The sequence below is a fragment of the Homo sapiens genome, chromosome 5 (assembly GCF_000001405.40).
Source record: "Homo sapiens chromosome 5, GRCh38.p14 Primary Assembly".
NCBI lineage: Eukaryota > Metazoa > Chordata > Mammalia > Primates > Hominidae > Homo > Homo sapiens.
Genome location: NC_000005.10, coordinates 70,836,681 through 70,851,946, shown reverse-complemented (window position 1 = coordinate 70,851,946; position 15,266 = coordinate 70,836,681). Strand labels below are relative to the sequence as shown.

General features: G+C 34.3%; 1 pseudogene across 1 annotated transcript in view; it reads right to left on the bottom strand.

Annotated features, from left to right (window-relative positions):
* GUSBP16 (GUSB pseudogene 16) overlaps positions 1 to 15,266 on the bottom strand; it is a 153,001-nt pseudogene that overhangs the window by 20,843 nt on the left and 116,892 nt on the right. Inside the window, exon 9 of the transcript NR_146391.1 lies at positions 1,023 to 1,137. The product of NR_146391.1 is annotated as a GUSB pseudogene 16 (transcript). The remainder of the gene's footprint in view (positions 1 to 1,022; positions 1,138 to 15,266) is intronic.

Here is a 15,266-nt window from a genome sequence, read left to right as displayed (position 1 = left end):
CTCTATCATCTCAGGCACAGTAATTCATCATCAGGCCAAATAATTAATTACTCAGGAAGGCTTTGATTTCTATGGGAGCCAAGTGTTCTCCAAATTGTGTAGTACTGTATCTTGCCAAATGTTTTATTTTAGGTGTATGTTCAACAGGTTCAAATATTCATCAATACCTACGTGACAGGCACTATTTTAGGTACTGGAGCTAGAACTTGAGCAAAAAAGACAAAAAGTCCTCCTCTCAGGAAGCTTTTACTCCAAAGGCCTCCTGCAGGGGCAGCAAGCTAAACTCTGTGAGCTAAATTCAACATATCATCTGTTTTTATTGGAACAGTTACACTTATTCATTTCTGTGTTGTCTATGGCTGCTTTCACACCACAATGGAAGAGCTGGCAACAGAGACCATATGGCCTGCAAAGACTAAAATATTTACTATCTGCTCCTTCACAGAAAAGTATGTTGACCCATTACATAGTGGATTGAGTTTGAGAGAGGAGATTAAGGTAAGGCCAACATTTTAAATCGACCTATGAGGAAAAAGTGTTTTTTTTCTCCCTAAAAATTACCTCCTCCAGAAGAAAACAAAACACAAAAAAACATAAAAATAAAAAGAAAGAAAATGGCAAGACCCAAGGTAAAATGAAGGGTAAAAGTGAGCACCACACTAATACATATGTATCAGCGTGAAATCAGATGCTGCCATTTAGTTCCTGCTGAAAGTGTTGGTTTGGCTTTATTAAAATAACTTAAACACAGTCTTTCAATGTTATAGACTCATGGTAAAGGTTTCTTTTTCCTTTTGTGAATTTTTAAAAATTTCTCTGCAAAAATTATTCCTCACACAATTATGTAACTTTATATTTTCGATTAAAACTAAAACTAAAAATGTTGAAAGAACAACTCGATATTGGATTAAAATATTCATTTTCCATCTTCATTCTCAGGATTCATATTTGGTTGCCTCATTGCGATATAAGTATGTTGAAAAAAATGGAAAATTGCTGAAAGCAAAAATTTTAAAACTCACCAGTATTAATAATTATCACCAAATAACTATTACAGAAAACTTCCTCAGAAAGTAAAATTAGAGTGAAGGTATCACAGGTTGGCACTATTTTCATTCCCGACCAAGAAACTGACACCTGAAAATTAAAAAAAAAAAAAATCAGAGTCTACAGTTTTACAAATAATTAACAAAATGAACATCAAAATAGGGTGCAATTTGTTTAATTGGCAAAGGCACACAACGAAAAAGAAATATGTCAATTAAACTGTCAACCATGTTAATTTTGCCTCTGAGAAAAACATTGTAATGGGATAATTTCACGAAATGCTTTGATGACAAGAAAATGCCAAAATATGATTAGCTACTTCAAAATTCAGCTGAAACAAGAAAGCAATTGGTGGCAGCCAGAATAACCAAAGGTCTTTTTTTTAATATACCTTTTTTTTTCCGTCTCTTTTTGCCTGTGTTTAATCAACAGCGTACATTTTGTTTGACAGTGAAATGATTCATAATGAAAACACTGGCATCACAAAAACTTAGCAGAAACTTTGCTATAAGATTAGAGTATACACTTCTATTTTCCCCAAACTCTTTAAAAATATAATTACTATTTCTGAAAGAATTTGTTATCTTTATGAAATAATGTATTTTTCTTACTAGCATTAAGTGCTTATTTAGCTAAAAGCCAGAATTAGAAGCAATTCACTCATATGAGTATGTTTATATTTATATTGTCAAATATATTTACTTAGAATTTAAACCAAGATATATTTTATTTATTGTTCTCATCACTGCCTGTTAGTCAGAATGGATATTTTAAATTTTACCAGGTCATGTAAATTTTACTACCTATATTTCTTATTCCTGTTTGTTTAGAAAAATAATCTAGTCTATACCTAAGCTAACAAATAATCCTAAACATTGAAAATACAAACATGAGTATGAAGAATTCACTTTCTAATAAGTTTCAGCTTTTTACAAATGGCTGCTTAAATATAATGCATAAATATGACGTATTTTTAAAAATACATCTTGTTTATGCATTACTTGAACCATAACTAATCCCCATTTCCAGTCAAAAAGAACACTGTCTACATATGTTAATCTCTAATACAACAAAAGCAGGCTTAGCTTAATGGGAAACTTATTAGAGTAAAATAGTTCTTTTTATTTTTTATTTTATTTTATTATTACAATAAGAAGATTATAATTTGGTAACTAGCAGGAGAAGAAAGACTTCCAAAGATTATTTTATGGGTCCATGTATTTGCTTTTCCTGAGGGTAACTAGTGCTAATTCTAGAAAGGCAGAATGCTGTAGGAAAAACAAAATAAGCCCTGGAGTACAAAAGATTTGGATTCAAACTTTGAAGAAGGATGGGGAAGTGTTTAGGAAAGTGCTTCCCTGTGTAAAACTTAGCTGGTAAGTACCATATTTCACTGAAATTGCTGTTATAATAATTGAAACAGATTATTATTGGAAAAACAACATCAGCAAAACTAAAACCTAGATGAGTTTAAATAAGTGCCAGCCATTTTTCTCCTGTGGGGATTTAGAGTTGAAGTGGGTATCTTCGATTACTTTTCTTTATCCTCATTCTTATTCTTATAATTTTTCCTAATAAGTCACCTAAGAAGGGCATTTAAATAAGTGCTAGCCTTTTTTCTCCTAGGGGGATTTAGAGTTGAAGTGGATGTCTTCAATTACTTTTGTTCTCTATTCTCGTTCTTATTCTTATAATTTTTCCTAATAAGTCACCTAAGAAGGGGATTCTAGAAACATCTCTTTCCAAGAATACATATTGTTTTAAGAAATATCAGTTACCCCAAATACTTGAATAGAAACTAGGAAAACAGGAGAGGGAGATTATAGGTGTAAACAAGGAATTACTGTGCAGTAATATGTGTAGTGGACGTGAAAAGTAATGACTTAACAGTTTGAATACACAAAGATGGACCAAACAAATACATTTATTTCTCCTTTATTCCAAATTGCCATTGAAATAGGAAAATATAGTACTTATTAAAATAACTATGGAAAGTTGAGAAGAATTCTACCAACAGACTAAAGAGTAAGCAATTTCTGAAGGACATAAGTCATATCAGAGGCACTTTAGTCTTTGGCCATAATAGAATTATTGGAGGGACTTGCCTTTTCACTATAAACAATGATAAAACTGGGCAACATATATGAGGAACCAGATTTTATGCATCAAACAAGAAGTACAAGTTTTTCATACTCAAGAGAGAAGAAAGCTGTGAGGTAAGTACCACATTTAACCAGAGAATGTGACTAGGGGCACTTTTTCTCCCATTAAACAAGGAGGCAGACTCTAAAAATAATGAGTTTAGAGGAAGAAATTAAAGCTTAAAGCTCTCATTTTGTAGGTTGTCTGCTTATTTGTTGATAATTTCTTTTGCTATGCAGAAGCTCTTAGTTTAATTAGGTTCCAAAAAGAGGTAGGGGTAGAGGGACAAGAGCCAAGGAACTTCCTGTTAGGTATTCAGTTCACTACCTGGGTGACAGGATCAGTGGAAGCCCAAACAGTAGCAGCAAGCAATATAACTTTGTAACAAACCTGCACATATACCCCCTGAATCTAAAATTACAATTAAATCTCTATCTATATCATCTCTCTCTCTCTCTATCTATCTATCTATCGATATTTGTAAATAGCTTACACTTGCTTAAGTGGTTGTTATTTAAGAGCTGCTGAAGTGGCTGAAATTTGTATAGGAAAGGAAAAAGAGGCATGGGGTAGGCCTACAGAAGCCAGAATAAGTATTTGGCACCAATTTCGTCAAAAGCTGCTCTATACCTGAGCAGGGTTAACATCTGCAAGACCTGCTGAAAGCAGATACTGTGGGAATAAGATATCAGTAGTAACAGGACAAGGAGATGTTTGGGTTACTGACTAGCCACAGGGAAGATATTTTACGGAATATTCCAGGCATTAAGAACAAGGACTATTTCTTTCAGTAAAGACTATGTCCTATCTTTAAGAACAAAAATGAAAGAGATTTTCATTAACAAATAATGAAACCAGGCATGGCAGATCAAAAGGATCTGGAAGCCACTTAACAGCTTTCAAAGGACTATCTTAGGGCCTTTTACAAGAAGACAACGTCTAGATTTTCTACAGTGTATTAGTCAAAAATACAAGTTACGCAAAGGAGCAGGAAAATTTAATAAATAATCAAGGGGAAAAAAGCAGTCAATAGAACATACATCATAATGACCCAGGCATTGAAATCAACAGATATATATTATGAATATGTCCTTAGACTATGGAGATATTGTCACAATGATAGAACGAAAAAGGTAATTTTGAGAAATGAACATTGTTGAAGTAACAAGTGCAAAATATACAATGAAAGAGTCACTGGCAGGGTATACTCTCAGATTTCAGCTCTCTGAAAAGCAGACAAATAACCTTGAAAACCATTTTTGAATTTATCTAATCTCAAACAAAAGAGGAAAATGATTAAAATAAGAGATTGAATGACATGGGATATCAAGCCATCAAACCTATACACAAATGAAGTCTCAAAAGGATGAGTCAGAAAATGGGAAAGAAAAAATATATTTGAAGAAATAATTGCCAGTGTTTTCAAATTTTGATGAAAAATTTCAATGCAGAGATCCAAGAACATCGAATCAACAAGAACACATGTATGAAGGGTATAAAGCCAATAGCATAATTAAAATGAAATATTGAAAAATATCCATTTACTCTAAGGAAGGTAACACTGAACCGGTGAAGAAAGAAATATCAACAACCAAGGGAAGAGAACAACACCCAAATAAGAAAATAGTAGGCAAATAGTAACATGGTAGATTTAACAACACTGACATCACTGATTAAATGTAAATGGATTGAACATTTATATTAGTTTCCTAGGGTTATATAACAAAGTACCATAAACTAGGTGCCTCAAGCAACAAAAATGTATTATCTCAAGTCCTGAAGGCTAGAAGTCTGAATTCAAGGTACTGGTTCCTTCTAAAGGCTGTGAAGAAGAATCTGTTCTAGACATCTCTCCGTGGCTTTTAGATGGCTTTCTTCATGTTCATATGTTGTGCTTTCTGGTGGCATTTTTGTGTCCAAATTTCCCCCTTTCATAAGGCCACCAGTCACATTGGATTACAGGCCACTCTAATGATCCCATTTTGACTTGATTACATCTATAAAGATCCTATCTTTCAATAAGGTTGCATCCTTAATTACTGGGGTAAGGACTTCAACGTATGTTTTTTTTGGCAGACAATTCAACCCATAACACACTTAAATTAAGAGCTAGCAATTTTGAGACTGGATTTAAAAAGGACAAAACTATATGCTCTGTATAATGAATGCATTTTTTTTTTGAGATGGAGTCATAAAATTGGTTGAAAATGAAAGGAAGTAAAACTGATGTAGCTGGCTAATACCAGAGAAAGTAGGATTCAAAATAAGCTGAAATATCAGAGATGGAATGATAAAAGGTTAAGCTCATTAGCAATGCATTATAATTCTCAATGTTTATACAACTGATAACAGAGTGTCAAAATGCATGAAGTAAAAACAGACAGAACTAAACAGAGAAATAGACTTTCACTCATAGTTGAAGATTTTAATCATCGGCTCAAAATAAACAATAGATGAACATATAAAAATTAGTAAGGATTTGGAAGATTCTAATAATACTATCAACTAATGTAGTCTAATTTCAAGTTTTAGAACACTACACAAAAAATTTCATGGAAATATTTTTATCAAATTTACATGGAATGTTTACGAAGGACTGTGTAGTCTCGGTCATTAAATAAGTCTCAATAATTTGCAAAAGATTAAAAATTATCTTCAGAGGTGAAACAATGGTTTTTGCGTTGATTGAGATATTGATTAAATATGTACATTTGTGAAAACTTACTAAATTGAATGCTTAATTTCTGTGCATTTTGCTGTATCTCAATTCTAATAGAAAGACAGGCAAACATATAAATACCTATTACAGACATACCTACACACACACACGTGTGTGTGTATGTGCGTGTGTGTATGTGTGTGTATAAGTCATTTGCATATATACTGGCAGTGAATCCCAGTAAAGGTGAGGAATACATATTCTCACACTGGTAGAAATGATGACTTTTTACAGTCTGATTTTTTTTGTGTTTTAATCCAGAAATAATCCCAAAATTAGAGATACAAGGGAATGGTAATTGGTCCATAGAATAAGAACTGTCCAAGAAGTTTATAGCACATGACTCCCTGTCCCACGCTCAATTGAGGTTTGTTTTATGTCTTTGCTCTGGGAAGAAAGCCCCCAGTTTAGCTTTCTAAATGATGAGTTCAGAATCTACTCACAAGCATTAGAGATTAGTAAAGTTCCTTGTATTCAGTAGAGTTCCTTGCAACAAGCATGAGCAGTAGAGATGCTGCCACTTTCAAAAGACTTACATATGGACCACTGAAAAGAAAGGCATTATGTGGTCAATTTTAGAGCATGTGTCATGTGGAGATGAGAAGAATGTATATTCTGTTGTTTTTGGATGGAGAGTTCTGTAGATGTCTATCAGACTCATTCGGTGGAATGTTGGGTTCAGATCCTGAATATCATTGTTAATTTTCTACCTTGATGATCTGTCTATGACTATCAGTGGTGTGTTAAAGTCTCCTACTATTATTGTGTGGGAGCCTCTTTGTACTCTAAGAACTTACTTTATGAATCTGGGTGTTCCTGTGTTGGGTGCATATATATTTAGGTTAGTAAGGTCTTCTTGTTGAGTAAAACCCTTCATCATTATGTAATGCCCTTCGTCTTTTTTTTTTTTTTTTTTTTTGAGACGGAGCCTCACTCTGTCGCCAGGCTATAGTGCAGTGGCATAATCTCAGCTCACTGCAATCTCCGCCTCCCGGGTTCAAGTGATTCTCCTGCCTCAGCCTCCCGAGTAGCTGGGACTACAGGCACACACCACCAAGCCCAGCTTATTTTTTTTTTTTTTTTTTGGATTTTAGTAGAGATGGGGTTTCACAATGTTGGCCAGGATGGTCTCGATCTCCTGACCTTGTAATCCGCCCACCTTGGCCTCCCAAAGTGCTGGGATTACAGGTGTGAGCCACCACTCCCGGCCCCTTCTTTGTCTTTTTTGAACTTTGTTTGTTTGACGTCTGTTTGGTCTGAAATTAGGATGCAACCCCTGCTTTTTTCTGTTTTCTACATGCTTGGTAGATTTTCCTCCATTCCTTTATTTTGAGCCGATGGGTGTCATCACATGTGAGATAGGTCTCAAAGACAGCATACCATTGAGTCTTGCTTTTTTATTCAGCTTGCCCCCCTTTACCTTTTAAGTGGGGCATTTAGCCCACTTACATTCAAGGTTAGTATTTGATATGTGTAGATTTGATGCCCTCCCTCATGACTCCTATTCAACATAGGAAATCCCAGCCAGAGTAATCAGGCAAGAGAAAGAAATAAAGGGCATCCAAATAGGAAGAGAGGAAGTAAAATTATCCCTATTTGAAGCTGACATGATTCTATATCTAGAAAACCCCATAGTCTCAGCCGCAAAGCTCCTTCTGCTAATAAAAAAAACTTCAGCAAAGTTTTAGAAAGAAAATCAATGTACAAAAATCACTAGCATTTCTATAAACCAACAGTAACCAAGCTGGCAGTCAAATCAGGAAGGCAATCCCATTCACAATTTTCACAAAAAGAATAAAATATCTAGGGTAAAATACAACTAACCAGGGAGGTGAAAAATCTCTACAATGAGAATTACAAAACACTGCACAAAGAAATCAGAGAGGATACAAACAAAATGGAAAACATATCATGCTCATGGATAGGAAGAAGCAATATCATTAAAAGGCCATACTGCACAAAGCAATTTACAGATTAAATGCTATTTCTATCAAACTACCAATGACATTCTTCACAAAACTAGAAACAACTGTTTTAAAATTCATGTGGAACCAAAAAAGAGGCCAAATAGCCAAGGCAATCTTAAGAAAAAGAACAAAGCTGGAAGCATCAGGCTATCTGACCTCAAACTATACTACAGGGCTATGTTAACCAAAACAGCATGGTGCTGGCACAAAAACAGGGACATAAACCAATAGAACAGAATAGAGAACCCAGAAATAAAGCCACACAGCTATGATTATCTGATCATCAATAAAACTGACAAAAACGAGCAATGGGGAAAAGACTGTCTTTTCAATAAATGGTACTGGGATAACTAACTAGCCATATGCAAAAGATTGAAACTGGACCCCTTCCATACACAATATACAAAAATCAACTCAAGATGGATTAAACACTTAAATGCAAAACACAAAATTAGAAAAACCCTGGAAGACAACCTAGGCAATACCATCCTGGACTTAGAACAGGCAAGGATTTCATGACTAAGATGTCAAAAGCAATTGCAACAAAAGCAAAAATTCATAAATGGGAACTTCATTAGTCCATTTTCACACTGCTATAAAGAACCACCAGAGACTGAGTAATTTATAAAGAAAAAGGTTTAATTGACTTGAAGTTCAGCATGGCTGGGAAGGCCTCAGGAAACTTACAATTATAGGAGAAGGTGAAAGGGATGCAATGCACCTTTTTCACAAGGCGGCAGGAAGGAGAAGTACCAGGCAAAGCTGGGAAGAGCCCCTCATAAAACCATTAGATCTCGTGAGAACTCATTCACTATCACAAGAACAGCATGGGTGAAACCACCCCCAGATTCAATTACCTCCACCTGGTCTCTCCATGTGGTGATTATGGAGATTATAATTCAAGATGAGATTTGGGTGGGGATACAAAGCCTAAACATATCAGGATCTCATTAAACTTATTAAGAGCTTCTGCATAGCAAAAGAAACTATTAACAAAATAAACAGACAACCTACAGAATGGGAGAAACTATTTGCAAACTATGCGTCTGACAAATGTCTAAAATCCAGCACCTATAAGGAATTTAAACAAATTTACAAGAGAAAAACAACCCCACTAAAATGTGGGCAAAGTACATGAACAGACACTTTTCAAAAGAAGATGTACATGTAGCCAACAAGCATGTGAAAAAAAAAAAAAACTCAATATCACTGATCATTAGAGAAATGCAAATTAAAACCACAATGAAATATAATTTCATACCAGTTAAAATGGCTACTATTAAAATGTCAAAAAATAACAGATGCTGGCAGGTTGTGGAGAAAAGGAAACACACACTGTTAGTGGGAGTGTAAGTTAGTTCAACTATTGTGGAAAGCAGCATGGCAATTCCTCAAAGAGATAAAAGCAGAACTACCATTCCAACCAGCAATCGCATTACTGCATATATACCCAGAAGAAAATATATCATTCTACCATAAAGACACATGCACACAAATGTTCATTGCAGCAATATGCACAATGGCAAAGACATAGAATCAACCTCAATGCTCATCAATAAGAGTTTAGATAAAGAAAATGTGGTATATAGACACCATGGAGCTATAAAAAAGAATGAGATCACGTTCTTTGCAGTAACATGGATGGAGCTGGAGGCTATTATACTGGGCAAATTAACACAGGAACAAAAAACCAAATACTAGAAAATACTGCATGTTCTCACTTACAAGTGGGGAACTAAATTATGAGAACACATGGACACAAAGAAGGGAACAGCAGACACTGGAGTCTACTTGAGAGTGGAGGGTGACAGGAGACAGAGGAGCAGGAAAAATAATTGTTGAGTACTTGGTACCTAGGTGACAAAATGATCTGTACAACAAACCCTGATGACACGAGTTTACCTATATAACAAACTTTCACAGGTACTCCCAAACCTAAAATAAAAGTTAAAAAAAAAAGAAGAAAGCAAGCCCAAACCCATGCTGTACCACATGGCAGCATGGCATTGCAATTTTCAATTACTTGGGGGAAATAAAGATTCTCATGTGATTAGAGGAAATAATCTTTATTTAATAACAATGCTTAATAAGAACACTTGACAATAGATGGCTGAGAAAACCAAGAATCACCAAATATTTAAATAAAAATAAAAAATAAAGAATATCCTATCTATGAAATGATATAAACACTAAGAAAATAGAATTAACAGAAGAAACTAAAGAAAATGTCAATAGCCTTGGTGTCCATACAGGAATAGGAATCACAAAAATAACCATAAAATATCTTTAAAAATACCTTTTACAAGCAATACTCCAGAATGTCAGAAATTAAAAATATCATTAGCAAAATAAAATGTAGTAAACAGAATAAATAATATAAAAGATAAAACTGATGTCTAAAGATTACCCCAGAATCTGAACTGCATGAGGGGGAATAATAATTACATTACTGGATATGAGAACAACTATTTAATAGACACATCTACTTGGACGACAATGCTTTTTTTTAAATGTCAAATTTCCAGTTTATTAATTTTAATACATTTCTGATCAAAATTACTCATTTCTTTTTGTGCCCTTATTTTTTGCATTAATTTTCATTTTTTACATCTCCATGCTGAATTGAAAAAAACTTCTACTGACCTGTATTTCAGTATATTAATTATTCCTTCAATGGTATCTAATCTGGTGGTAAATTATCTATTATATTTAATTTAAGTAATCACATTTGTATTTTAAATGTTTTGCTTATTTCATCCACAATATAATACTAACACAGTTTTTTCTCTACAATTAGTTTAAGCTTTTAACTAAATTTTTAAAGAGTAAAATATTTATTATCTTTCTCTGATATTGTCCAATGTTTGAAGTCTTTGTGGGTCTAATTATGTTTCATGTTGTTTTTGTTGATTTTAACTTATTTTGCCTTGTTTCACTGTGTTCTTGAGAATATTGTAAGATTTAGCTTCAGGGTATTTTTATAAAGCATTCAGATTTGCTTCTCCCTAACACCTGGGCATACGAGTAGGACCACCTTAAAAAAATGTTCAATTTTTGAGATTACCTGAGTCACGCAGTCACACAAACCCAAGTAGTGGATCCAAGCTACCACTGCTTTAGGTCTGTCTGGTTCACCTTATGCTGAGGGTATAAGATTTGGTCATCTCAATCTTTTAAGGGAGGGCTCCTTAAGAAGACTTAACATATGCTAGTCTTCGGTTTTGGTTTCTTTCTCATTCACCCTGAAACTGTCAAAATAAATATTAATATTTGTAGAGATCGGCAAATTGCAACTGGTAAGGTTATATCCTTACCTCTCTGGGTTCTTCTTTTCTCTTCAAATTTGGTTTGATCACTTATTAAAATTTTATAAGCTCTCAATGCTTTTTAAAAGGTGTTTTAAATGTGCAATCACTAGCATTTTTTAAAGTTTTTTCATTGGGAATTATAGTCTGAATAATATCCCACCATAACTAGAAAATGAAATACCTACCTATTACAAATGCAATACATTTTATATATTGAGTAATTTGCCTTTTTCTAATTAATTTTATTTTAAAACTCATATTAAAATCTATATTTTATAAGAAAAAAAAAAGCTTGACATTTGATTAAGACCAACTTAGCTTCACAAATCTCTACCCGAATGACCACAGGCAAGTGATCTGACATTTGCAAGTGCCTATTTTTTTTTTTTTCATTTATAAAATGGAAATACATAACTGAGCTTAATGTGGATCAAAGAAATTAATATGTAAAAAAAATCAAACACAGAACCTGAAAATGATAGGAAGTCAATTATTCAGCCTACCTATCCACTACTAAAATAATTCTTGGTTATGAACTTCACAAGGGAACACACTGTATTACTACTCTACTCAATAACATGAATTTCATTGTGTATCTTCTGGGGCAAGTGCTTCTTCCAAACAAATTAAACCATGCCACTCACACAATGTTCATCTATCTCATAAGTTTTTGCTATTCTCCTGTTGATTTTACATTTAATGAGGGATAAATTCTATTTTCACAATCATAATCAAATAGTACCTAGAGAATAAAAGCTACTAAGACAAGACAACCCTCAATTCAATTAATAACTAATCCCTCTCTTTTTCAGAGGTACATCAGTTGTTCCTCCAGGATTAAAACCCCTCCTGTTTTACAATAAAAAAGCAGACAGATGACAGGATCTCATTAAACATCTATTGTGCACCCACACAAAAAAAATTAAGTAGGCAGATGCTCTGATTATTTAAAGCAACACACAGAGTTTTAGGATGAAGTTTTATTTCTGAATTTTAACTTATGCACAACTTGTAAAATGTTACTTCATTTATAAATAAAGCAGCACTAACTTGGTAACTTGGAATCACTGTATTTTTCTTCATAAAGAATAAAGTCAGGATAACAGTTAGCTCTCTTTGTTTCTGAATAATGATTCAACATTAATTTAGATATTAGAAGCTCTCACATGCAAGTGTGTGTGCATGCACTCACACACACTACTCTGAAGAGGTAGAATATGAGGAAATAAGATACACATACACAGAGAAGGAATATGTAACATTTAATTTTAACCTCAATGACAGGAGGAGGAGCACCAATAATCTAAAAAAAAAAAGAAATCCCAAAAGTTTTGGATTAGCTGCCTCTCTAGCTAAGTATATATTTTATTGCTAATCAATATGGCATGACCAAAATTATAGCAATGAAAATAGTCATAATTATCATCAAGTAATGAAAATAATATTTATGTGCTCAACAGTATTACTTATATATTCTGATTAAATCATGTGCTATTGAAAGCAGGATGAAGTAGAGCTTATTTTATATCTTAGAATTCTTTTCCATCAATGTCAGTTTAGGAAATGAAAGTTATTAGAATTTCAATGTAATTAATTCATTTGCAATTGGTGTCTATTTGGTTATGTATTTTTTCATAGATATAGTCTGAGAGACATTATCTGGTAACTTTTATCATGTCTCTGAGAAACCAATTTTCTGTAAGGCCTAATTTTTTTTCTTAAATAAATATGTATCTGCTCATGCATATACCAACTTCATGGATTCCAAACAATAAAAAAGTTAATTGTAAGGATTGGACAGAATCTACATTTTAAATGCTATTTAAAACATTATCACACTGTAGTGGAGGAATCATAAACTGCAGAAGTTTTTCAACCATGCCACCACAAACTACATCTCTACAAAATGTTTTGTACTTTTACTTTAAAGAACTAAAATTGGAAACAAAGAGTGGAGAATTATTTCTTCCCTTTCTCTTCCCTTCATCCTCATTCTAGCACCAGTCATACCTGACCATGATTTTTAAAGAGTATAAATTACTCCTCTTCTCAGAGGTAGAAATACACAGAAAAATACACAAAAACCAAATTCTGTCAAAATATATTTAAAGAGGTTTATTCAGAGCCAGTATAAGTGACCAAGGCCTGGGTTACACTATCTCAAGAGGTTCTGAAAGCGTGCCCAAGGCAACCGGGTTACACTTTGGTTTTATACATTCCAAGGAGACAACCAACTGCAGGTAATTGCAGGTAGGTCAGGGTAGGAGCTTGTACGTCATAAGGGGCTTTTAGGGATCCTTTAGTTGACAATTGGTTGAGAGAGTTATGCTATCGTCTAAAGTCTTGAAATCGATAGAAAGGAATGCCTGAGTTCAGATAAGAGTGGGGGAAAGACCAAGGATCTTATTAAGTAGATGAAGCCTCATAGGTGGCCCTCAGAGAGAATAGATGGTAAATGTTTCTTTTCAGACCTTTAAAGGTATCAGACTCTCAATCACTCCTAGGTCCTGGAAAGGCATAGAAAGGGGAAGCATGGCTGCATTAATGAAGATTCTCCATAGATGCAAATTTCCTCTACCTCAGTTTGCTGGCCTTGCAACAGCCATTTCAAAAGACATCAAAGAAATATATTTTAGGGCAAAATATTTTTATATCCTTCAGGGTCTGCTGTCTGTTATGTGATGCTGTACCAGAGTCAGGTTGGAAAGCAAGCCACATTATATAGGGTTAATAAAAAACCCATGTAAAGAGATGTTATCATTCGTAGGGCTGACTCCCAGTTTCTTTAAATAGGAATTTGGGCAAGATGAAAAAAAAAAATCAGAATTTAGTCCTCAACTCAAATATTTTATTCATTCAAACGCTTATTCAAACTACCGAATCCTCCAATAACAGAAAGTATAGTGTCCATCCTGAAGACTTTCATCCCATCTCACAGCATGTTTTCTCCTAGTACACCCTGATTGTCCAAGGACTTCTGAGAACACCATTCCAGAAGAGGTCATGATCTCAACAACTGTCACAGAAAGAAAGAATACAGGAAGACAAGATGCGAAAGTTATGTCAGTGGCTTTCATTCATCACACCACTACGTACTGGTTCTCTAGTACTGTGCTGTTATGATCCTCCTGACTTTTACCCTGTGAATATCCTAGTGCTTTTATATCAGTCTCACATCCTCAACACGCTGGTTTCCATAAAAACGCAACCAAGTCAGATGGCTGTGATCTGGTGGGATTCTAGTTCCATTTGCAGCCTCCAAAGCAGTCTTTTACCTAAGAACACTCAGGCCTCCAAGGTTAAGATAACAGTATACTCCAATGCAAAATTCTCTACCTCCCTACTTCAGGTCCCAGGGACTCTCAACTGCCAGTCACTCTTTGAACAATAAGAACAGACACTTAAATGATGATAACTAATGGCAGCAGCACTAATGTAAGAACGCTGGAACTATTAGTACTCTCATCTTCCAGATGAGAGAACTCAATAACATGATTTACATAAACTGCCTGAAGATACAGTAGAATAATAATAATGAAATCCAGGCATTGTGGACCTGAATGCTGCTACCTAGCTACTCCTCTTTGTGGCTTCTCCATTGTCTTTTCCTGCCAGTTCAGTTCTAACAGGAATAAACAGACGCTATTCAAAAGCTTTTCAAGTCTGAATGAAGATGTACCTAGGGTTGGTGTTGATGAACTTTCCCTCACTCTTCCTTAAGGAAATTTGTTCTTTCCTGCCATTTGAGAGACATGTTCTTCCTCTTCTTCTTCAAAGAGCTAAAATGCACCTTTATTTGCATAATGAAGATAGTGCAGTGAAGTACTTTCTTGCATTGTCAAGGAAATGAGCTCCAAAGGAACTTCCTTTTAGCATAGAGAAAGCTGCTGTTTTTATTTACTTGCATTTTGCATATGAATATATTTTAATTTAGTTTCAACAGGTAACTGAATTAGAAAGTGAAATTATAAAGTCATTTCTCCAAGAAAGAAGGTAGAGCTTATAAATATTAGTAATCTTAGCTGGGCACGATGACTTACGCCTGTAATCCCAGCACTTTGGGAGGCTGATGCGGGCCAATCA